We start from the raw sequence: 23,413 nt of genomic DNA on the forward strand, positions 1-23,413 counted from the left end.
TTTAATTTTAAGTTTTGAATATCAGTAGTACAATTTTTAAAAGAAATTAACGGAATATTGAAAAGACAGCTTAGTTCTGCTGTTCTTCATTAAGGTCCCAGTTTTTTAGTATTTTTACTGTAACTGTATATTTTGAAGAAGTGTTGACCACTCCCTATCATTTCTTGCTACAGATGGTTAGCACATAAGAATATACTTCTTATTAAATTAGAAATTGGTATGCAAGTATTATGTTATTTCAGTAATTATAATTACCTCAACTTTGAGAGGATTGTTGCAGTAAAGTTGAAGGAAGAGTATAGATATTTACTTAATATTCAGAGTGTCTTGAAAGTCTGTTTTCTTATTGCCAAAAAAGTTACCATGAATTAGAAATAAATTTATTTCTGGTACATCATGATTAGCTAGGGTACTGAAGTATAAGCTACTTATATGAAATGGTGTATCTACAAGGCCTTAACATAGTAACTTACTCATAAAAGGTGCCCAGCAAAGTTTACTGAATTTTGTTGGGTTTAAAAAGGATGAATGAAGACAAAAGTTTTGGGATATCTTGAAATAACCTAGTTACCATTTCAGAAAATTATGGCAAATACATTGTGACTTTTGGATTGAAAACTAAACATAAGATGATATTTGTTAACCTAGATTAGCAAATGTAATTTATTTTTAAAATCACTTTTTGTTTTCCTTAGTTCTGTAACATATCATATCCAAGATTTCCTCTTAATTTAAAAATTTATGAGTTTCAAACGTGATGAAAGTTAAGCTACTTTCTTTACTCCAATTATTTAATTTTAATAATGTGATGTATCATACTTAGTCATAGTTGAGATGTAGTGCCCTTTTGTTTTGAGACATTTTAATAATAAAACAGCCTCTTATCTTTGCTTAGTAATTTTATGCGTGGAGGATATTTATTTTGTACAATTATTTTCCATACTCTTTGGTCTAACACAAACCAACTTTAGGCATGCTTCTTGTATATGAGAGATTAAAAGTAAAATTTTAAGAAAAAAATAGATAACTTGATTTTTGTATTGTTTTATCTGTTTTTAATACATCTTTGGTAAGAGCCCCCTATATTGAAACACTGCCATAAATGTAATAGGAACTGAAACTCATCAGTTGCAAGATGCAGAATCTGTAATGATTGAATGCATGGTCTTTATGGACAGGAATACCTCAGTTCAAAGATCCACCATTCATTACCTCTTTTAACATGAGCAAGTTACTGAATCTTTCAGAGCCTCCATGACCTCCCTTTAAAAACTGGTAACAATATTAGTACTTCATTTAAAGGGTTCTTTGAGGATTTTAGCAAAATAATGCATGTTATATGCCACATGGTAGGCACATAAACATTAGTTTTAATCATAACAATAACATGAACATTCGTTATTTTAAGAAGGTAGAGCCAAATGCAGGAGGAATTGATGTAAATTCATCAGACTTTAATCAGTAGGCATATAAACAAATTAACTATCTGTAGTAAAGTTTTTTGTAAAGTGCTAAATGTTAAGAAATAGAACTGGGTGATTGCAACCTGCTAGATTTTGAGTTTTGCTAGCACCATTAAGTAGTTGTAGCTTGAAAAAACTGTATGAAGTTCGTAAACTTTGAGTCAAATACTGATGACAGGAAGATCATGTTTTAGTGGCGTAGGAAAGAAATTCTCTGTGGTCTAATGGATGCTTGTGGTGGGAGAAGGTAGTGAGTACAAAGGATATGGTACAGGTATTTTGATTTGGTTAGAACTGACAGTGAGAGTGAACATAGGCATGGCAGGATTCAGGTGCTGGGGGGGTGGGAGGAGAGAGGAACAGGAACTTAAATACAGTGATCTGAAGTGATACATTAATTTGCAAAGTACCTGCCACAAGGTTCTAAAAGAGAAGACATAGCTAATTCTGTTCTTCTCTTTGTTGTAAAAGTTGTGGACAAGTAGGAAGCAGGGTGAACTGTCAGCTCATGCCAGATGTGTATTATGGGGATCAATAGGTCTGAAAAGGCCTGAGAAATAATGTGATGAGGTTCTTAAACTTCAGTGTTGGAGAAGATATAATTTTGACCTATGAGCTATCATCTGAATGGTTTGAAATTTTTAGACTATTTTGTATTAACATTGCATTGTGGAATATTGAGTTTGAATTAATCAAGAGTTTTGCTTTCGGTTTGTTGTTTTTAAAGTATGAAGCAAATGAACATGCAGTATCCAAAAGTGCTGAATTTAAAATACTGTAATTGTAGTATGTGATACCGTTATTGCAGTTATAATCAATGGGTGAATGGGAAAACATTTTTGAAAACTATAAAGCTTAATGTAAATTTAAAGTGCTACCAGGAAACTAAAACTTTTAAAGGGTAACTAGGATACAAGAATATTTTGTTTGCTTTGGGTTACATTCTGTGTTAATTTTTGTTATTTGGCAAATAATCCTCTCACTAATAATTGGATGTAAGACAGCTCTTACCCTTCTATTTCTAGTTCTTCTAATCTTTTAGTCATTTTTATGACTACCATAGTTATAGATGAAGTTCTTATCCACAAAACTATTTTGAATTGTTAGTCCTAGATCCCTAGGATTCTGCTAATATTTTAGTTATGTTTAAGTCATATTTTAGGTGTATTTCATACATACTATCCTTTAAAACATAAAGAACTGCCTTGTCCAAGAGAACATCCTTGTTCAGATACTCTTTCTGTGTGCTAGCATAATGTCTTTATTATACTAGCTATCATTATGTTGAATTGTGTTAACTTACTTGATTCTTTTTCTTTGTTGAATAAATGAAATGAATGAGGACTGTCAATTTCTAAATTTACATGAATTAGACATCCTATTGGCTTATCCATATAAACAAGAAAGTGATTATTTAAAATACATAATTTGAATAACTTATTGAGGCAGTTTATAAAATTATGTTGCCATTTTGATTGATATGGTGCTTATTCAAATAATTAGTTAAATCCTAAATCTTTTCGTGAATTCTCATGGTCTTTAGGGCATTTGGCAGCATATTCTGGCCCTGCTTGGTGGATTGCAACCTGTCATTGAGGTAGTTATCAACTCTATCTTAAGTGCAGGAGATTCTAGGTTATATCAGTTAATTTCCCTTGTCATTTTCTCATGGTTGACTTTTTTTTTTTATCAATACAGATAGAAATCTGGGTATATATTTTAAATTAGAAGATAAATCAGAATGAATTCCTTAAATGCAAATGATGTTTAATTGTATTAATGTTCCTATGTTGAATGCAAAGAAATTTTTAAAATTAATCCATCAGATTATATTTCTGGCATAGCTGCATGCCCACCATTGCTTCCCTCTTTTATCCTAGGATAATGAAGCGCTGACAGTTTGAGTTAATAAATCATCTTGTCTTTCAAAAGTTTTTGGTTTTGTGAATGTGGACCACTTTGAAAATCTGATTAAACTTGGGAATTCTCACCTCAAAAGAATACCCATATACATCTACACCAAGCACATAGCATTTTGCATGCAGCCTCAGGGAATTCAGTCTCCTGATCTAGTGGGTGAGTCCAGACCTGCCCATGTAAAGCAGTTAATAATGTGAGCCAGAATAAGAATTCACTGGTAATAATTCCCATTTTAGATTTCTGTAAAATATGTAAAAATAAATTTTAAGCAAAACATATTTATGTTTTGATAACACTTAAGAGTTGATACAACAGGGAACTGATAATGTATGTTTACTGTATAGCTAACCTCTTTGGTCAGTTTCTGTTCTTATGAGATTATGGTGTTAGTCCAGAATCTGTAGATACTGCCACTCTCTGAAGAGTCTTGTACAAGTGGGAGTCATAGTGTTAAAATGACAACATATCAGATAATGCAATAATATGCTATAGGAGTTTAGAGAAGGTGAAAAAAATTTTATTCTTGGTGATGGCTTTGCTCTACTCTAGTTATGGCTATAGTTTGACTTGGCCATTAGAGGACTTTAATTCAAAAGGGTCCCACACGAATTCAGAAAGTGCCTCAAGAAATCAGTTGAGATTAGTAGAATTGAGTATGTGAAAATTCTGTTAAATTCAGCAAGAATCATTTTAAAGTCTTCTCTATTTTGGAATGCTCTTCATTTCCATTAAGCCAAATAAACAATGAAGAATCCATTTTAGAGTGAATTATTTTTCTTGTTTAGTTTTCTGAGGGTAAACTCTTTCCTGGGATTCAAGTATACAAGACATACGAGAGAGCAAGATAGGCTCAGCGGTGGAGGTGATTATTTTCTACACAAGTAGATAACATTTAAACAATGCATGAAGTTTTAAGTGGAATTAGGGAAGGGATATAGCAGAAATTTTATGGTATATTGCAGTAATATTTAAAGGGTAAGAGAGCTCTATGTAGAATTTTGGCACTGAGAAATCCTACTTTTAGTGAAGTTGCCTTCTCTCCATCTCTTTCTGTTGAACCCTTGAGAGATGTCAGCTATGGTTATTTTCTTTTCTCTTTATCTCTAATCATTGTTATCGGCATCTTATCTCTGACTCTTCAAAATCTGAAACTTCAGTCTTCCACTTCTTGAATATTTTTCCAAATTACTCATAAATGTCTGGGATTGTGCCTAATCACTATTCTTTAATTTAACAGCTTCCTATGATTCAACCTTTAAAAAATGACAAAACAACAACATTAACACTACAGCTTCCAAATTCAATCAGAAAAATCTTATGTTTAATTCACAGTCAATTAGAATAAAACATAAATAGTGCATCAAAATCATATTGTTGTAGTTCAGTATACAGAGGCATTTGTGAATACATTTGTGTTCAGCAGCGTTTTTTCTTCACTGTATGTATCAAAACATTACTATGAGCCATCTGCTAGAAATAACTTCACTGTGCAAAGCTATATGTTAAATTACCATTTAATGCATTTCACGGGTATTGCAAAGATCTCGATATTACGATTTTTTTCCTCTCGCAGTGTAACTGGTAACCAAATTAAGTACCAACTTTAAGTCACTCCCTGTTTTCTGTAGAATAAAGGATTGTTTCATTAGTTTGCTATTTCAAAGCCCTTCAAGTTTCAACCAGGCTAACAAGTCCCATCTGATGTCTTACTAGTCTCCTTTACCTGCTTTACTACTTACCATGTAGTCTAGCCAAAAGGACTGTTACTCTTTCCTTTAAGTGCTCCTCCAATCTCTGAACATGAGGTCTTTGAGGACAAATAACCATATCCTACTTATCTTGAAATCCTCCATGGCTGCTTGCCTAACTCAGAGTCATGTGATGGTTTTAAGTAAGTGAACATTGAGTAAATGAGTTATGCTCTGTGTATACACTTTGTGCTGATTAGGTCTATATTCTATATGTCCCCTAGCAAGTCTAACTTAAGTAACATCTCCCGAGAACCTTCAGTAAATTCCCAGATTTTCTATGGACTATTAAAGCATCTTATATACAGTTTTTGTATACACTTACCAGTTTTACTATGTATGAAATAATCACTTAGATGGGCCTTATCCCATTTCTCCTTTTGGCATAGATTACAGACTTTTGTGCCACTTAGTCTTGGTTTTTAATACTGGCTGCACCATGTGTATTCTTAGACAGGTCTTCATCTGTTAAATGTACACTATGTTTTCAATACCTTTTATGATTACCAAGATCAAATGAGAAAACGTATAGAAAGAACAGTTGGCACTCAATAAGTAAAAAACACAGAGCCTGACGTACCTGCAATAGTAAATATTCTGATTCTTCTCTCTTTCTCCTAATCTGACCCTAAGCTAAGCCCATCAGTGATAGGAGTTATTTCCTTTTTTTTTTTTTTTTTTTTTTTAATACGGAGTTTCACTATTGTTGCCCAGTGCAATGGTGCGATCTCGGCTCACTGCAACCTCTGCCTCCCGGGTTCAAGCGATTCTCCTGCCTCAGCCTCCCGAGTAGCCGGGATTACAGGCATGTGCCACCATGGCCGGCAAATTTTGTTATTTTACTAGAGACCGGGTTTCTCCATGTTGGTCATGCTGGTCTCAAACTCCCGACCTCAGGTGATCCACCCACCTCGGCCTCCCAAAGTGCTGGGATTACAGGCATGAGCCACCGTGGCTGGCCGAGTTGTTTCGTTTCCTTTTTATGTACCAATAGTGCCTAGCAAGTGCCTTAGTCTTCTTGGATGTTCAAATAAATGTTTAATGAATGAACAGAAATTTGGACATTTTTGATAATGGTAATATTTTTAACACCTTTAAGATTCAAAATTTGATTAGTGAACATGATAAAAATTAAAATAGAGAAGAATCTTGGGTATCTGTGTTACTTAATTCTTGGCCTTCATCCCAACTGTACATACCAATTTCTAGATATTTATGTAGAGAGTACAGCATGCTATGACTTACCCTAAAGAGGATCCCCAAAACATAATTTTCATTTTGGTTGATGCGTCAGGCATCTCAGCCAGAATAATTTAAAATATTTTAGAAAAACCGTAAGTCGCTTTAAAATGCAATCCAGATTTAAATTATTTGAACTCACTTAGATACTGATTCTTTACTGAATTAAGTCATGTTGTGAAAATAAAGATGTGTTTAACTCTGTTACTGTGGACTATTCTCACTTTGAGAAATGTTTCAAATATATAGAGTTGTATAGATTTAGAATATGAGGGAACCTAAAGAATAAACTCCTTATTTTTTTATTCAAAATGTAAATGATAGGACAAATTAAGCACATGAAATTAGAGGCTTTATGTTTTGAGGGAAACTTACCAATTTTTACAATTGATAGAATATCTTTTTATAGTACTTCAGTGGCTAGCGAATGTTGAAAAATAAGGAACAACCTTGTTCTAGGTTTTTCTTAATACTATTGACAATTTTTATGTTTTAAAAACCAGGGCAACAAAAACAAAACCAGAGCAACACTGCAAAAGACAAGTATTACAGGATTGATTCTAAGTGGGTAGGGCAGGCATGTCCACCTCAGGAAGTATGTTAATCTCCTAAGTTTTCTTGTTTTTATGCCTTTAACACAGGTCTTCCCTCACCTATACTTACTCCCCCCAAAAGACTAAGATCTAACAAGGCTATAATTGGGTCAACTGCCTTCTTAGTTCTGAAGAAATGAGCAAATTGCCTTTCTTTAAAGCGGCTTCTTACGCCTGCAGACATTCCCGCCTTTCTTTAAAGCTGCTGCTTACGCCTGCAAACATTCCCTGAGTAGCAGTTTTGTGTCCTGTCATGGTGCTAGGTCCTGGGGACTACAAAAGTAAACATGACTCATTTATCTCCAGAAGTTCACAGGCCAGAGTAGCATTTCTAACCTCATCTTCCTTAGCTATTTGCTATCTCAAGAAATGTTAATACATTTTCGTGATAAAAGGGGTTACATGTTTTCTTGACTCTAGTAACACTGAATGCTTTATCTCCGTCTCGTTGACTGCACCAAGAAGTCTTTCAATAAAGAATGCAGCCTAACTTTTTTTAATCCAATAATTCCCTAGCTTATTTGAGAAGACCCCTTTTTTCTTTTTTTTTTTTTTTTTTAGTGCCACACATATCAGTGTTCCAAGAGATATAAATGTTCTTCAGCACCCAGTTTGAGTGAGAACCTGTGCAGAGATGATGTACAGCTTTAATGAGATGAGTGCTGTCAGAGCAGCAGGAGCCGGGGAGTTAGGGAAGTCTTCACACAAGCAGTTCTGTGTTTAACCAAGTCTGCAGTGATTTGTATACAAAGGAAGGGAAGGGTGGTTTAGGGCTCGGACGGAAAGAATAGAATGGAGAATAGCATGAATGCTTGACACAGAGCAACATATATTTGAGGAAAATCCAAGAGCTCAATATCATTAGATCAAAGTGGGGTTGAATGTCAAAAGATCGAAGAAGCTCTACCGGAGAATGATCCTTGAAATATCTGAAAAACTCTGAATAGCAAGATTGAGCTATAAAGTAGGTAGTAATCAGTTCCTACATTTCAAAGTTATATAAAGTCCATTGTACTTTATATTTAAAGCTAGTTTTTCACGGGGAAAACAAAGATTCTGAATTTAGCAAAAGCTAGGAAGAATATGGGATAAACTATATGGCTGAATCATCCACTGTGTGCTGCTATTGAGTTCTGAATGTTATTTAATCATACTTTAAAAAAAATTGAGTCATCTGTTAACATTTTAATACAGTACATTAAGAATGACGAAGCAACTTTCCTTGTAAAAGATTTTAAGTTAACTAATTCCTATTTTGGAATTACAGAATTACCACATGTGAAGACAGAACAATGAAATATTTTGTATTTTTAAATTTAAGGTTTTACTGAGCCTTACCATCATTGTTGCTCTTTATAAAATATTGATAAATACAGAAAAATAAGAATTAAAGTGAGCTTATGCCATATAAAGACAGTGTACATGCTGATGTATTTTTTGCTAGACAAAATTTACATATTTATATTTATGCTAAATAGAGTTCTTGTTTTTTACATTTTCCCCACATTGTAAATTCTTTGTAAACACCACATTCAGTGACTACATAATATTTCATTCAGTGGATATATCATTGTTTGTGTAGCTGTAGACAGTCTTCAGTTTTTCCAACCATATATTTAGATGGTTTCCACTTTATTTGTTATTATAAATAATGTTTTCTGTATATAATTCCAGAATTGGAATTGTTGGGTCAGAAAGTAGGAATATGTTTAAGGTTCTTGATGTATGTTACCACATTACTTCACAAAACAGTGCAGTCATTTATATTTCTACTGGGAGTGTATCAAGGAGTTTATTCAGATCTTGAGGACGATCATTTATAAAGACAATAAAGCAGAGTTTTTTGGTTAGTTTTAAAATATGGACGTATTTATTGTTTTCTTCATGGTTTTAATGGTAAGCAACATTCAGCTAAATCTATGTATAATGCTTTGTATAAACAAATATAAGGATTTTCTCTTTATATGAAGCATTTTGATTTTTGAGGTATCCATCACGAATTGAAAAAATTGACTATGAGGAGGGCAAGATGTTGGTCCATTTTGAGCGCTGGAGTCATCGTTATGATGAGTGGATTTACTGGGATAGCAATAGATTGCGACCCCTTGAGAGACCAGCACTAAGAAAAGAAGGGCTAAAAGATGAGGAAGATTTCTTTGTAAGTAGCAAGTTTTTTCTGTTTGCTAGTTTTGCCAGCTATGTAATGACATATTTTAAAAGGATTCTGTTAAATTATACAAAAGCCTGTTTTTGTTAAGAAATGCTTATTTAATATACATGGAATTGATCTTAAAAGTTGTTTAAAATAGGATTTTAAAGCTGGAGAAGAAGTTCTGGCTCGTTGGACAGACTGTCGCTATTACCCTGCCAAGATTGAAGCAATTAACAAAGAAGGTATGTGTTTGAAATGATCTGAGACTTAAAATTAGATTAATAGTAAAATTTCACTGTATTTTAAATTTTAATTAGTGTGTGTTATGTAATCATTACGTATAACTTTTATATTTTCTGTAAGTATTCTTTTTCGGGAGCATTTGATTTGTTATGTGTTATCGAGAATAAAATGCTATATGGTTTGCTACCTAAGTAGTGTTTAAATTAGTAGACAAAAATAGTTGGTTAAAATTTTTCAACTTTCAATTCACAGGCTTATATCATATACATTTTATTTCTACTTCTCTGTTTCTAGTTTGTGGCTAACTTATATTTATGAACATCTACCCAAGAGTGTGAGGAAAGGTTAAAGATTTAGGGGAATTCAAATCAGTTCAATTCACAAGTGAAATACATAGGATATTTTCTGAGGAAAGAGTATGGAATTTTTACCAGTTCGAGGATTTCCCTTATTGTGTCTCTCCCTGCTGTCCTGTCATTAATTTCTACAGATAATTGAGTTAATTTTCTAGTATCTTTTTGTGGACATGTGTTAGAATATTAGATACTGAGCCAAAGTTGCTTAAGTAATCAAAAATGTTGAAAGTAACACAGAAATTAGGCATGTTAGTGTTGCATAAGACTGGGAAATCTATTGGACAGATCATTAATTTAAAACAGAATTCATATGCTCATTAATTTGGAAAGTTGTGAGAATTAATAATTAAATTATTGTTGAAAACATACCTGAATATTTTATTCAAATTTCTCATTTAAAAAAGTTTTGGAATACTTGCACGTGTTTTTTAAATTGAGTAATACATTAATTTTCTACTAAAGTTATTTCTTAAACTTGACCACTTACGGTAGTCCTTCCTTATCCACGGGGGATACATTCCAAGACCCCCAGTGGGTATTTGAAACTTTGGAAACTACTGAACCCTATATATACTATGTTTTTTCCTATACTGTACATGTATATGAATGATAAAGTTTAATTTATAAATTAGGCACAGTAAGAAGTTAACAATAATAAAATAGAATAATCAAACAGTATATTGTAATAAAAGTTATATGAATGTGGTCTCTCTCTTCCTTCCTCTCTCTCTCAATCTCTCTTGTCTCTCTCTTGCAAAATATCTTATTGTGCTGTACTCACTCCTTTTCAGACCGCGGTTGACTGCAACTGTGGAAAGCGAAATCGCGGATAAGGGGGATTTCTGTATTCATTGTTATTACTAAAGAAACAAACATTGAGTGACAGCTTCTTGGCAAGAAGGGCATTTAATCTAAGTAAGGGGACATTTCCTTTAAACTGAGTCTTGAAAGACAACTAAGTTAGCTAAAGTAGTGATCAAAGTGCTTTTCTGGTAGAAGAAATATGTGGAAAATAACAAGTGGGAGAGGCATGCCATGTCATTTTAAGGAACTGCAGGTTGCTTAGAATGAAAGATTCGTTTATAGGTGATAGAATAGCTAGAGTACAGGTTGGAGAGAAAGGCAAAGATTGGTATATGAAGTGTCATGTAATCTTGCTAAAGAATTAGAATTTTATATGGAGGTGATGGGAGCCATGGAAGAGTTTTTAGGCTGAGGATTTAATCTAACAACAAACTTGAGAGAAAATAGGAGGTAAGAGAAGATAGAAGAGGAAAACAGAGATATATTAAGGAATTTTAGGTGTGAAAAAATAAATCATAGTAGTCTAGCTAGAAATCATGATATAACTTTATAAAGACCTTAATCCAATGTATTGTCTTAATGAATTGAAATCATGAATATGGCTATGGTTTTCTTACCACTGGTTACCCCTACAGAAAGAGTTGAGAGACATCTCAGTTGTTAGGTGTGCAGGCTGTTTCTTCTTTTCTAGTGGGCCCTGTATTTCCCTGTACACTTACACTTCTGTGGAGCTGTGTTATGGAGCTTACATTCCCAAGTCTTATTCACATTGGCTTCCGAGTGTCTAGTCCAGAGCCTAGCACATAGTAGACAGTCAGTAACAATTTGTGGAAGTAAAGGAAGAAGTAAAATCTCTTCTGTTGGGTAATAAGATGTACCCAAAACAAAGTGAAATTAAACAGTCATTGCCCTCTACATTAATTCATAACAGTTTCTTTTAAGAGCTTTGGGGCCTTCGTTACATGCTTAAAGTTCCCTGTGTGTGTGCAGATGCAGGTACACACATAGCGCACACACTCAGAACAAAACCACCCTCATTCTTTATTCTATCCCTTTCATCTACAGGCATTTAATACAGAAAATTCAGCTTACCTTAGTGGAAGAGTGTTGATACTGATTGTGATCCCTGGCATTTCCAGAGTAGTTTCAGTGAACACATAGTGAAATATTGGCAGATACTATTTGTTTTCTGAAAGGTATTAATTTTGTGATTTCTGTATGCCCCAAGTGGTGGATAGGCCTGCCCGCTCCCCACCTTGACAAAAATCAGAAGGGCAAAAGAAGCCATCCGTTCAGTGTAAGAGCAAAACAAAATGAACAATTGTGAACATTTAGGCATTTGTAATACAGCATATAGAAGCAAAGAAAAGGGGCCAGTCAGTGTGTACTGGAGTCATTGGGGAAGTTTTCATCTTGGGAATGGTCCTTGAAGAGTGGACTGGGGTTTAGATAGACACAGGGAAAGGAGAAAGGCATCACAACAGAGGAAATAGCATGAGCAAAGGCAGAGAGGTATTAATGCCCAGACGGCCTGGTGTGCAAGCTGAGTTTTTCTGGAATGCTGTATTGAAGAAGGAAGACAGAAAGTTGCAGGAAAGATGGAAGTGCCAGGTGTACACAGAGTTTGGCATTCTCAAAATTTTTCCATTGTCTTTACATCCTTGCTATTCGCCTGATCAGTTGTTTGCATAACTTGAATTTAGATCTTTATATCTGTGAAATTCAACGTTAGGCTAATTATAGAAAGAAATAAAATCAAATGGTGTTATTCAGAGTACCCAAAAAAAAAAATCTTTGCACATATATATTATCGGCTTTGGTGCCAACCCCAAGGACATTAGTAATGATTGTCACATTTCTTGTTTATAATTCTTTTATAAAGACCAAGTATCTGTTTACTTAGAGTGGGACTCTGCCTTCATTGGGGAAATGGTGGAAGAACATTTTTCTAGGAAATGACAGGAAAACATTTGAATTTCCTTAAGTAGGCATTATACATAATTTATATATCTTCTAATAGTACTGGCTTATATTGACTTGAAAGCATGGGGTCTGTAACAAAAAGTGAATATGCTTCATAATAGACAAACAAAATCTTGAGTCCTTCAAGTAGGATGAGTTTGTGGGAAAGACATGGATGACCAGATGAGATTGGAAGTATTAATTACGGCTGTGTTGCCTGCCACTTAGGTGAATGCCATTGGGTGTAGCATTTAGCCTTCCTCTAGAATTCAGTGTTCTGAGCTACTTATGAAGACTTTTATCTAGATGATTTGTAAAATATTTTCTACCTTTAAAGTCTGGAACTACAATTCTTATTTTCCAGTTTGTTGTTATTGCCCAAGGAATAATCCTTTCCAGGGCAAATGATCTTTTTTGCATATCAGCTCCTTCTCTGTATTACTTCTTTTGAAAGAAACATTCAAAAGCAAATGGTAATGCCTATGGAAATATTATATATTTTTGTAAGTAATGATTTTACTTTTGTCAGCTATGTTGAGTCTAAACATTTAAATTACTGCAAAATAAATTATAAAATTTCTTAGTAAAAATCAGAATTACATGGAACTAACTTATCAAGACTTAATTTGTGTACTTGTTAGGGGAAACAGGAGTTCAGAGTTGTTTTTAGAGGGAGGGAGAAAGTAAACTTGATGGAGTCCTTAACAGGAGCATTTGTAGTTTTTGCATTCCTAAAGCATTTATCTATACAAGTCACTACTTGTTAGATTTCAAGTGTTGCTGTAAACTTGAATTATATTTTCTAATGATTCTGACTTGCTCCTGTTTCAGGAACATTTACAGTTCAGTTTTATGATGGAGTAATTCGTTGTTTAAAAAGAATGCACATTAAAGCCATGCCCGAGGATGCTAAGGGGCAGGTAAGAGTGTTCAGTATTCCTAGCTACCCAAAGGGTTATCTTCTTGAACGGTGACTGATCAAAATATATTTATATGTATATTTTTTAAAAATGAACTAATTGTAGGGTTATGTGCTGATAGCCCCAAATAGCAGCAAGAAAAGGAAGCTTAGACTGTAAAATAAATTATACATTTGATTTTTGCTTCTTTGGTTTAGACCTGCTAAAGTTATAGGTCACTAGTTTCTGTTCCAGGTGAAATCCCAGCATCCACTAAGCTGGTGTTGTCCTATCGACCCAGCTGGATCGTGTAACCAGTCTATGGGAAGTGAGGTAAGAGCCTTTTTTTTAAAAATTTTGTTTTGTTTTTCCTGGTATATAATGTCATTTAGAAAGTTAAAAATTTTTAATATAAAAATTTACATTGAGTTCTTATCTTCTTCTTTCCTTCTACAAATCATAGTCATTCATCTTCCTTTAAAAGGCGCTTACCTGACACTCTGTAGGCTGTTTCAGATAGGGCTCTCTGAGTCATGTGATGGAAGCAGTGTATTGTATGCTTTGTCACTGCTCAAAGCAAGAATGGATGGTAAGCATTGGAAGGAGAATCTTGGGTGGAGGTAAAAACCACAATTCCATTTGTTGGCTATGTTTTCTGAAATACTGGAAAGAAAGGTGCCATTAGAAATTTAAAATATTTTCTTTTCTATTCTGCTGTTATTTGGGATTTTCAGCACCTGGACCTACAATTAATTTTAAGAAATTGAAAGTAGTGTGTAAAAATGTCTAATATGGAAATATGCTACGTATTTGTTCCATACCATGCGGTGAAAACTGTCATTCTGAAATGTATTGAAATTACCTGGTCAGCTTCAGTCAAGTGTAAACATTTAGTGCTCTAGAAATGTATATCTACCACATTAAAAAAATTATTCATGAAGAAATAAGTGTGATTGTTTTAAATTGCCTGGTTTTCAAAAATTTAGTTATGAAATGATTAGCAAGCAGATTTCTTCTAATTAATATGTAAATGCAATTTAAAATGAAAATGCTTTTGATCAGGAAGTGGCTTTGTGTCTTCCCACATGTATGTATAAATAAAGTGTTCTTTTAAGCATTCAGTGGTGTGATTTCTTGGTTACTACATAGATTGATTAAAAGGTTGGGAACATTGTATATACCTGCTTAAGCAAAAGTCTCAATTTTTTTTTTTTTTTTTGCTTTAAAACAATTATTTTGTTATTCTGGTTGATCAGATGTTCATGAATTGACATTATATTATTGCCTTAAAACTTTGTTTTTTCAAAGTGGGACACTGAGCCAATTTGGTTTGTGGTAAAATTACAGCTTGTAAAAATTAAATTTATTGGATGTTATGGATGTTTGTTTTTAATAAGTAGTGATTCTTTAGTCACACTATGATGCATTATAACATTAAGATCAGTGCCAAGATATAAAACAACTGAAATAATATTTGGGTAGTAGTATATTTCTTTTAATTTTTCATTTTTTTCTTTATAATTCTTAATCACAGCAACGTTAACAATATTTGTAGAATTGTGTTTTATAAATGACTCTCATTTTATGAGTTGCTTTTTCCCAACAAGCTTTTGACTTGCCTTCATCAAAGAAATATGCCAAATCAGTTGTTATTTGGGCAAAGCTAAGGGGGGCCTATCTTGTATAATATCTTCTAAATTTTGAGTACTTTGAGAATTTGTTTAGAAAGATAATTTTTAAATTAAGCTAGCAAAGAGTAGTGCAACAAATTAATGCACTGTGGAAATGCTCTTCCTGAACCTGTCTAAAATGTGACATTAGTAACACTTTTGTATATGCAAACCTCCGAAGTAATTAATATTCTTAAGCCTAAATAAGTCTTAATTCTGTTGTTTTTGACTTTGAACCCGTTGGTTAATACTGGATAAACTTCTGCTTGCATTAAGAGTTTAGCTTGAGCACCTTAAAGAGCTTTTAATATTACAGTGGGTGCAATGTGAGCTGTAGTCCTTCTAACACTGTATTTGTAGACATTTTTCTCACTGGGAAAGAAGGTAATGGTAGACATGTTATCAGCCCAAAATAAGATCCCCTCTTTTTCTCCCTACCTACAGTTTTTTCTTCTTCCACATAATTTTGTGTGGAATGGTAGTGTTGATACATAAATAGCTATGAAACTGACATATATTATAGGAGGGGGATTGATTCCTTCATTTTATGAGATACCTCCTTGTTCCTTCTGGTTTTCTACCCTAATAAGAGCAGTAGTAATTACAGGGTGAGAGATTGAGCCATTATATTTTTAATTTGGAAGCTTGTAACAGAAGTACTTGCCTTTTCTCTCATTTCTTCTTCCTGAGGGCGTGCTGATACAAAATATACGTTGTGACTCACTAGTGTTAATGGTTGGCTTATAGGTCCTTTGCTATTAATATTTACAAAACATTTTTTGTGTGCCTTGTTTCGTTGGATTCTCATAGTAGATCCTTTGACATAGGTATGGCTAATATTTCTGTTTCACATTTGAAGAATTCAGAACTTAGAGAATCCAGTGACTTAAAATTTTACTCATTCTGTGCGAAGTGATTCCTTTAACCCAAAGTTTCTGATTTCAAACACAGTGCCCTTTTTAATGCAATATTCTATTATGTTATCTACAAAGAGCTCGAAAACATCATTATTAGTTATAGTTCATGGAAAGATCACACTTCAGTTATTTTTAACAATGAAGCTTTTCTATAGAAGGAATAAATTCAGTGTTTGATAGCAGAGTAGAGTGACTATAGTTATTAAAAATGTGTTATATTTGAGTGATGGACACCCTAAATACACTGAATTGATCACTACTAATTATATACATGTAACAAAATTTCACATGTATCCCATAAATTTGTATAAATAAACGTAAAAGCAAACACAAAATAGAACTCAACATAAAAATAAAAGAGCAAAACAGTGGGAGAATTCTTTAATCACAGAGCTACAGTGATTCCCATGCAAGTCATATGATTGAAAAGCATTTTAAAAACATATTTAAATTTAAAAGGTGCAGTATGATTCTCTTTTTAGTTTTTTTCTTTATTGGAGGTAGAAAACAACTTGGGATGGAAATTACTTCTGACATTTTCTAGCAACTCTGACAACTTAAAATTTTCCCCGCAATGTGGAACCCAGGATTAAATGCTCTACTCTTAATAGGTCTGCAAATGTATGATCTCTGTGGCATATAACACTTTCCTTTTGGTTGTCTGATTGTACTTACTCTTGTTTCTCTTCCCACTTTGTTGATTGTTCTCTCTCAATCCTTTTTTTTTTTTTCATTGATGGTGCTTTCTTTTCTTACTGCTTAAATGTTAGTCTGAAAGCTCAACTTAGCCATACTGCTTTTAGCTGCCCATACTGCTCCTTGAACCTTTCATCGCTCTTTCACTTTTCTGTACACTTTTACTCCTGGCCTTTGTTTAATGTTTTTCCTTTTGCTTGGAGTAGCCTTTTCTCTTTTTCCACTACCCCTTTCCCTAGCAAATTCCTGCTTATGTTTAGGGTTCAGCTCATCTATCATTTTCCCTGAAGCTTTGCATTAGTCTTTCTCTTCAGTCAAAATCAATCTTTTCTTTTCTGTTCTATAGTATTTTGTTTATTTCTCCAGTACATCTCCTGTCGCAGCTTATAGCTAATTGTATTTACCTGTGAATTCCTTATGGACGGGACCAGTCTTTTATCAGTTGCGGTCGCTTGAATGCTTAGCCTAGTACCTGGCATATAGGACAGGGTATTCAATAGAAAATTGTTGATTGAATGTGTTAAGTGCAATCACATGATGTTTTCAGTTAGTTGCAATTATGAGAGAAAGAGTTAGAAATACAGATTTTTCTTTTTAATGGCTTATTGTTTTCACCATATATTTTTAAGGCAGTGTTAATCTACATTGTTCATTGCTTAATTTTATTAACGTATTTTGCTTATATTTGTTAATGTAAACCGTGAATTAAATTCATTTGATGTTGTGAAATTTTTAGTTGCTTGGACTAGGGATTTAAAGTATTTTGAGTAAATCTGAACTGGTAGTCTATTTGACAGAGCTTAGTGGTCTCAGCAGATTCACTTTGTAGAGATATTTATATTTGTTTTAAAAACATTTTTATTGTGAAAATTAAAATGTTAGGAACACTTTATACTTCCTTACACCTTTTTTTATAATAAGCATTTTTAGTTAAAAATACAATAGTAAAATGTATTTAGCAACAAACTAAATTAACACAGGAAAAATAAATATTTGTACCTCAGAAGAATGGTACCAAACAGAGACCTAGGATGTTGTATAGGGAGTTAATGTGGAGTTTTGACAGTTAATGCTTTACCTTGGTCAATGGAGCTCTTTTCTTCTTCATCAGTATTATTAAGCTGTTGTGATAAATTGCTATCTGAACTTCAGTAGCTTTAGAAAATAATAAAAATCATACCTTTCTTGATTTCTATGAGATTGACTATAATTTGAATGGTACATTTGTCCTAATAAGGAATAGCAATTTGGTAGGTGGGAATACACTATTTTTAATCTTTGTAGAATTGCAAGATAGCATTTTTCCCTTCTTTTATAGTCCTTTGTATTATGAGAAAGAGATGGAATGCAACATTTGAGCCCTAAAATACTAAGGTAGAATGTCATGTAGTATTCCATATCTGCCATAGGTTTCCTCTGCTATTTTAGATTTTATTCCTGTGAAAATATATCCATGGAATACCTGTTATTGAATATGCTTCCTATTTTATGAGAGGTTATGCAATCTAACTCATTTGATTATTAAATTTGATAACCTACCATGTTCAGCTATCATGTAAATATTGTTATCTCTATATTTATGTTTATGTAGTTACCTGTGAAAGTAGCTTTGAAAATGTGACACATATTTTTATTAGTGTAATTACATTTTAATTAATTTTTAATACTTCACATGTTTTGTGTTTTTCCTTTGGAGGATTGGATAGCTTTAGTCAAAGCAGCTGCTGCAGCTGCAGCCAAGAACAAAACAGGGAGTAAACCTCGAACCAGCGCTAACAGCAATAAAGATAAGGATAAAGATGAGAGAAAGTGGTTTAAAGTACCTTCAAAGAAGGAGGAAACTTCAACTTGTATAGCCACACCAGACGTAGAGAAGAAGGAAGATCTGCCTACATCTAGTGAAACATTTGGTACAAAATACATTCTTACGTTAATTCCTTATGACACTGGTAAACTCATGTAGTAAAGTCAAATCCCTTGGCTTCCTTTGATTTTGAATGTATAATTAAATTTGTAGGCTTTTGACCCTAGCATAATATGATGGCTAACTTTTTTAGCATCTTACAGTTAGACCTGAAACTTAATAGTCTAGTGTGGGTTACTTGATATTGGATGCCCTCAGTATTCTTGAATAGAAATAGGTTGAGATTTTGATTTATAACTTCTTGATAGCAGGTTTTTGTTTGAGATTTTTTCTTTTGTTTTGTGTTTTTTCTTCAACCTTTTAAATGCTTCTGTGTATGCTTCAATATATAATATGGAAAAAGCAGTAAGTTATTTTCTTCCTGCTTTTCTTTAAGAATAACTGCTTTAGTAGTCTTTTATTTCTAATATATTAGTCTGGAGGGATTTGTGTTTTTCAAAGGTCTGTATCAAGTAGTAGATTAAAAAAACTAATGTGCAAAGCATTTTTACTATTTTGCTGTTAAAAAATCATGTGTTTTAATTTGGATTCTAGATAAACTCTCATATATGTGTTCTGTTGAAAGTAGGACTTCATGTAGAGAACGTTCCAAAGATGGTCTTTCCACAGCCAGAGAGCACATTATCAAACAAGAGGAAAAATAATCAAGGCAACTCGTTTCAGGCAAAGAGAGCTCGACTTAACAAGATTACTGGTAAACTACAATGATTTTTTTTTTGAGGGGGGGAAATGGAAGGTTTAATTTTAGAGTAATTTATTTTTAATGAAGTAAAATGGTTTTGATTTAGTGTCATGGACCTGTTAATAACAAAGACAATTACTTTGTGGTTCTTCAAGGTCAATGTCTTTCAACACCGTCAGCTTTTTCTGTTGTAAAATGTGAAAAATACCACATATCTTCTACCTACCTCACAGGGATGTTGTGAGGGTTGATAAGGACAAATGCTACAAAGCTCAGTGATTTTTAAATTACATTTGTGGTAGTAGTAGTTTCTAGAAGAATTATTTTGTCAACTTACGGTGACACAGTTTCTCAGATTTTAAATTTTTTTATACATTCTTCTACTTGACCAGTCTTACTTAAGGATGGTGCCATATATATTGGAAAGATGACTGTCTGACTTACATTTACTTCCTGAATCTGTTAATTTCTGAATTTCTGATGTGAAAGTATTTCTATAAGTTTTTTTTGTTTTTTAATTTTTACTCTTCAGGTTGGTCACAAGAATCTGGGCTTATTTATTTCCATATGATTTCTTATAGTTTAGTTTAGGAAATAGCAGTGTTAGGCTGTTAGAAAACACTGAAAATTCTAGCCTGGTTCGTGTTCATGGAAGAGGGGATTGAAGGATTAGAATTGGGGCCAGTCATACTACATCCTGCCATTTCCACAGTCTATTCAGCCTAGTGATTCTAGTCTTCAAAAGAAATTGTGAACATATTTACCTTTTCTGAGTATATGTTGAAAGGGGAGTTTAAATACTTTCATGATTTAGTCATATGTTCTTATTAAAAGGACAGAATCTTTTTTTAGTGCCTTTGGCCTAATAAAGCTGTAAAAACCTTTGTTTGTTGGCTTCAACTTGAAGAAGCTTGATTTCATGGTCAGATTTAGGAATACATGTAAACTAAACATTTTGACCATTTTCTGAAGAGAGGAAGCTAACTGAAAGGTGACTCTGGAGCTGAGGATTGTTTAGAACCACCATTTCATTTATATTGTTCATCTAAGTGATTATAATTGGTTTTAGCAGGTGAGAATATTCAGTCTCTTTCCATTTGTATATATTATTTTCATGCCTGTCTCTGATAAAGGATATACTTGGCCCCAGGAGAGGAAATATTTTAAATCAATTAACCTGTTACACCTTTTCCTTGTAAACTATTAACCTTGGAGAAAGCCAAATGTTCTCTAAGTGTTTGTTCTTATGGCATGAGACTTCAGTTTTGCCTTAAAATATGGAACCCAGTGCTATGTGCTGGGCAGAAGTGGAATAGTATTTCTAACTCCTGTGATACAAAGATTGAAACAACACTATTGGAGGAGTCGAGATCAAAGAAGACGGAGATGACACTGACATGATACAACTGCCAGCTTTCCAGCATCATGCTTTTTTTCCTTCAATTTGGATAACCTGCTTTAATAGTTTCAATCAATATACTCTTACATATGCCTTACTGGGATATTCAAGCTCAACGTTTAAAGAAGTAAAAAAAACAAAAAACTACAACACAAAAACTCTGCTGAGCCCACAATGATGCATTATTTCTCTATGGCCTTGAAAAGACAGTAGTGGGGAAAAAAAGTACCATTTTACCATGTGCCTCAAGTTTGTAATACTGGTTGCTTAAACACCCTTCCCTTCCACGGTGGGATTTTCTCTTCACTTTCCCTTGGGAGTCTCAAATGAATAAGTTACAGTTTGACAGCAGCAGCAGAGCATAAGATTTTATGAATGTGAAACCATTATGATCTTTTTATTTACTTAGAAAATTTAAGTGTGTGATAATCTTTTTAATAGTTCATTTTTCTACATCTATTTCTGATTTCATGTTGCAACTATGTCATGCAAAAAGACAGTAGATATTGTAAGATTGTCTTCAACAGTTGAAATTCAGGCTTGCCTTTTTACAGTAGATTTCATTTATAGTTTATACAGATAAATGAGAACTAATATAAAATAGTAATTTTGTTATGGCATTATGGTATATTTTAAATTCATCAAGCTCATCTGTATGTGTCTTTTTGTCCTTTTACTACTGAGAGGATTGGGGCTGGGATCATGGCAGCCTGCTCTGATGTATTTCTCTCCACTCTATTTTATTATTTTTTTAAAGAGTTCTAACTTAAATACGTGGACCAGCTATTGGATAACTTTAATTCATATATTTATCATTCTTTCTATTCACTTTGCCACATACACACCATGTGATGATTTTAAACCCGATTTCTGTATAGAGAATGTTAAAAGGATGGCGTTTTTCAGAGGTTCCAAATAGGTAGACATTGACAATATAGTTGCACAGTATATGGAATACGTATATGTATAGACATATATACACACATATACATACAGATATACATATATATTTCTATGTATACACATATACATATATCATATATGTACACATATGCATATTGCATATACTGTGCAATATATATATACACACACAATTTCCCAGTTCGTATTTTTCATTATGTCATGTACCTTATTGATAGCTATTATTATATGGCTTATGCATACTGATTTGAAATAAACAATTTTACTTAGAAAACTAGTAGTCCATACTTTTGGAACAAAGTCACAAACAAATTGAATTTGATTAGACTTTAAACTACAGAATGTCAAGGGAATAAAGGAAAAAAACATCAGCAGTTGGTGCATGATCTGTTTCTAATAGGCTCTAAGAGTTCCTGGAATTTCAGTTAGCTTAGGTGTGTTTCTGTAACTTAAGGAATTTAAAAAGTTTAAAAAATCCTGAAATTTGAATTGACCAGTAGTATGTTATTGATAATAATATCAAGAATATTTGATTCTTAGTCCCAGCAAGAAGATTGTGTTTTGGAATACCTGGATGAAAAGTAGACCAAGAATGTAACCACTTTGCTCTTTCTTTGTTCCCCTTTCCCATTCCAGGGAGCTCTGGGCTCTGTTCTACTTATTCGTATTGGCAGGAAGAGACCAGCTGTGTATTTTATAGCTAATATAGAATACTGGAAGGTTGTAACTTTATTGGTGGGTGGAACTGATGACTATTTGATATTCTTCTTTTACCTAAGTTTAAATAATTTCTTGAAGCAGTGTAATGCATTCTTATTGGGCAATTTTATCCCATAGGGGTATTCTTCTAGAAGAGGGCCTGTTAGTAATACATAGGTAATTAATAGGTACTTGCTTATAATTTCCTTTCAGTTAATTCTTCTCATTTTCTATGGATAGTGCATTTTTTCCTGGAATATTAGCAGGTCAAGATAACAGATTTTGGACTGCCTCTTAAGGCAGAAGTAGTCAGAGTTATTTCTTCAAGTACCTATTTTGTTATTTGTTCCATTTTATTGTTTATATTTAATAACTTTTGTAAGTTGATGTGAATGTAAAGCATGAAAAAACTTTATTAATCATATTTGGGCTTTTAAATTCTCTAGATAACCAAGTATGCATTTTAAAATCTAATTTTAAGTAGTTTTTCTTAAGTCTCATTACTTTTTATGAACACATTGCAATGCTTTATTTTTCCTTCTCAAACCATTAATGGAAAGGGATTTTAATAAACTGGGTCTGTAATATCCTAATGTAAATCCATATGTTATGGGTGAATTATTTTGTTTCTTTTACTACTTGTGGTACCTTATTTTCAGCTTTTTAGTTTGTGATCTATTTCATCTATTGAGTATTAAAAAGTATTTCTACCACCTGTGTGAAAGGAAACAAAGTAAAAGATATAATTATATAATATATTGAATAGCAAGATTTGTCCTGTTTGAATAGTCCTTAGAAATATAACTCTACTCAGTTTCCTGCAAAAGAAGAACTTGATTTTCTAATTATTTTTATTTCAATAGTTCATTGGGCCTTAAGAATGTTAGCTGGAGAATAAAAACCTAATGAATGTAGCTTTAAATGTTAAATATTCAGTACTGTATCTTTTTCAGTAATGTAAAAATATGTTCAGAATATAATTAGGATTGAAGCTGTTTTTGTAAAATTGTTTATATACAGTTGATGTGGTATGAGACTGTAACAAACTATTTAGTTTTTTGGTTTTTGCTTTTTTTTTTTTTTTTAAATCTCAAACTGGGACAAACACCAGGGTTTTGTTGTTGTT

At 33.0% G+C, this 23,413-nt stretch overlaps 1 protein-coding gene across 31 annotated transcripts in view; it reads left to right on the forward strand.

The window, feature by feature from the left end:
- The window catches only part of PHF20L1 (PHD finger protein 20 like 1), a 73,420-nt gene that overhangs the window by 10,073 nt on the left and 39,934 nt on the right, over positions 1-23,413 (forward strand). For 8 of the 31 annotated variants that reach the window (XM_011517081.1, NM_001277196.2, NM_001438313.1 and 5 more), the window contains exons 3-7: positions 8,950-9,121; positions 9,273-9,357; positions 13,312-13,400; positions 18,359-18,572; positions 19,155-19,280. In XM_011517081.1, the coding sequence (XP_011515383.1) occupies positions 8,950-9,121; positions 9,273-9,357; positions 13,312-13,400; positions 18,359-18,572; positions 19,155-19,280 (686 nt within the window). Of the gene's footprint in view, positions 1-8,949; positions 9,122-9,272; positions 9,358-13,311; positions 13,401-13,622; positions 13,713-18,358; positions 18,573-19,151; positions 19,281-19,304; positions 22,324-23,413 lie in introns of those variants that run through there. The other 23 variants (NR_156424.2, NM_001438312.1, XM_047421823.1 and 20 more) reach the window with 6 other exon arrangements.

Source organism: Homo sapiens, chromosome 8 (genome assembly GCF_000001405.40).
Source record: "Homo sapiens chromosome 8, GRCh38.p14 Primary Assembly".
In the NCBI taxonomy this organism is placed as follows: Eukaryota; Metazoa; Chordata; class Mammalia; order Primates; family Hominidae; genus Homo; species Homo sapiens.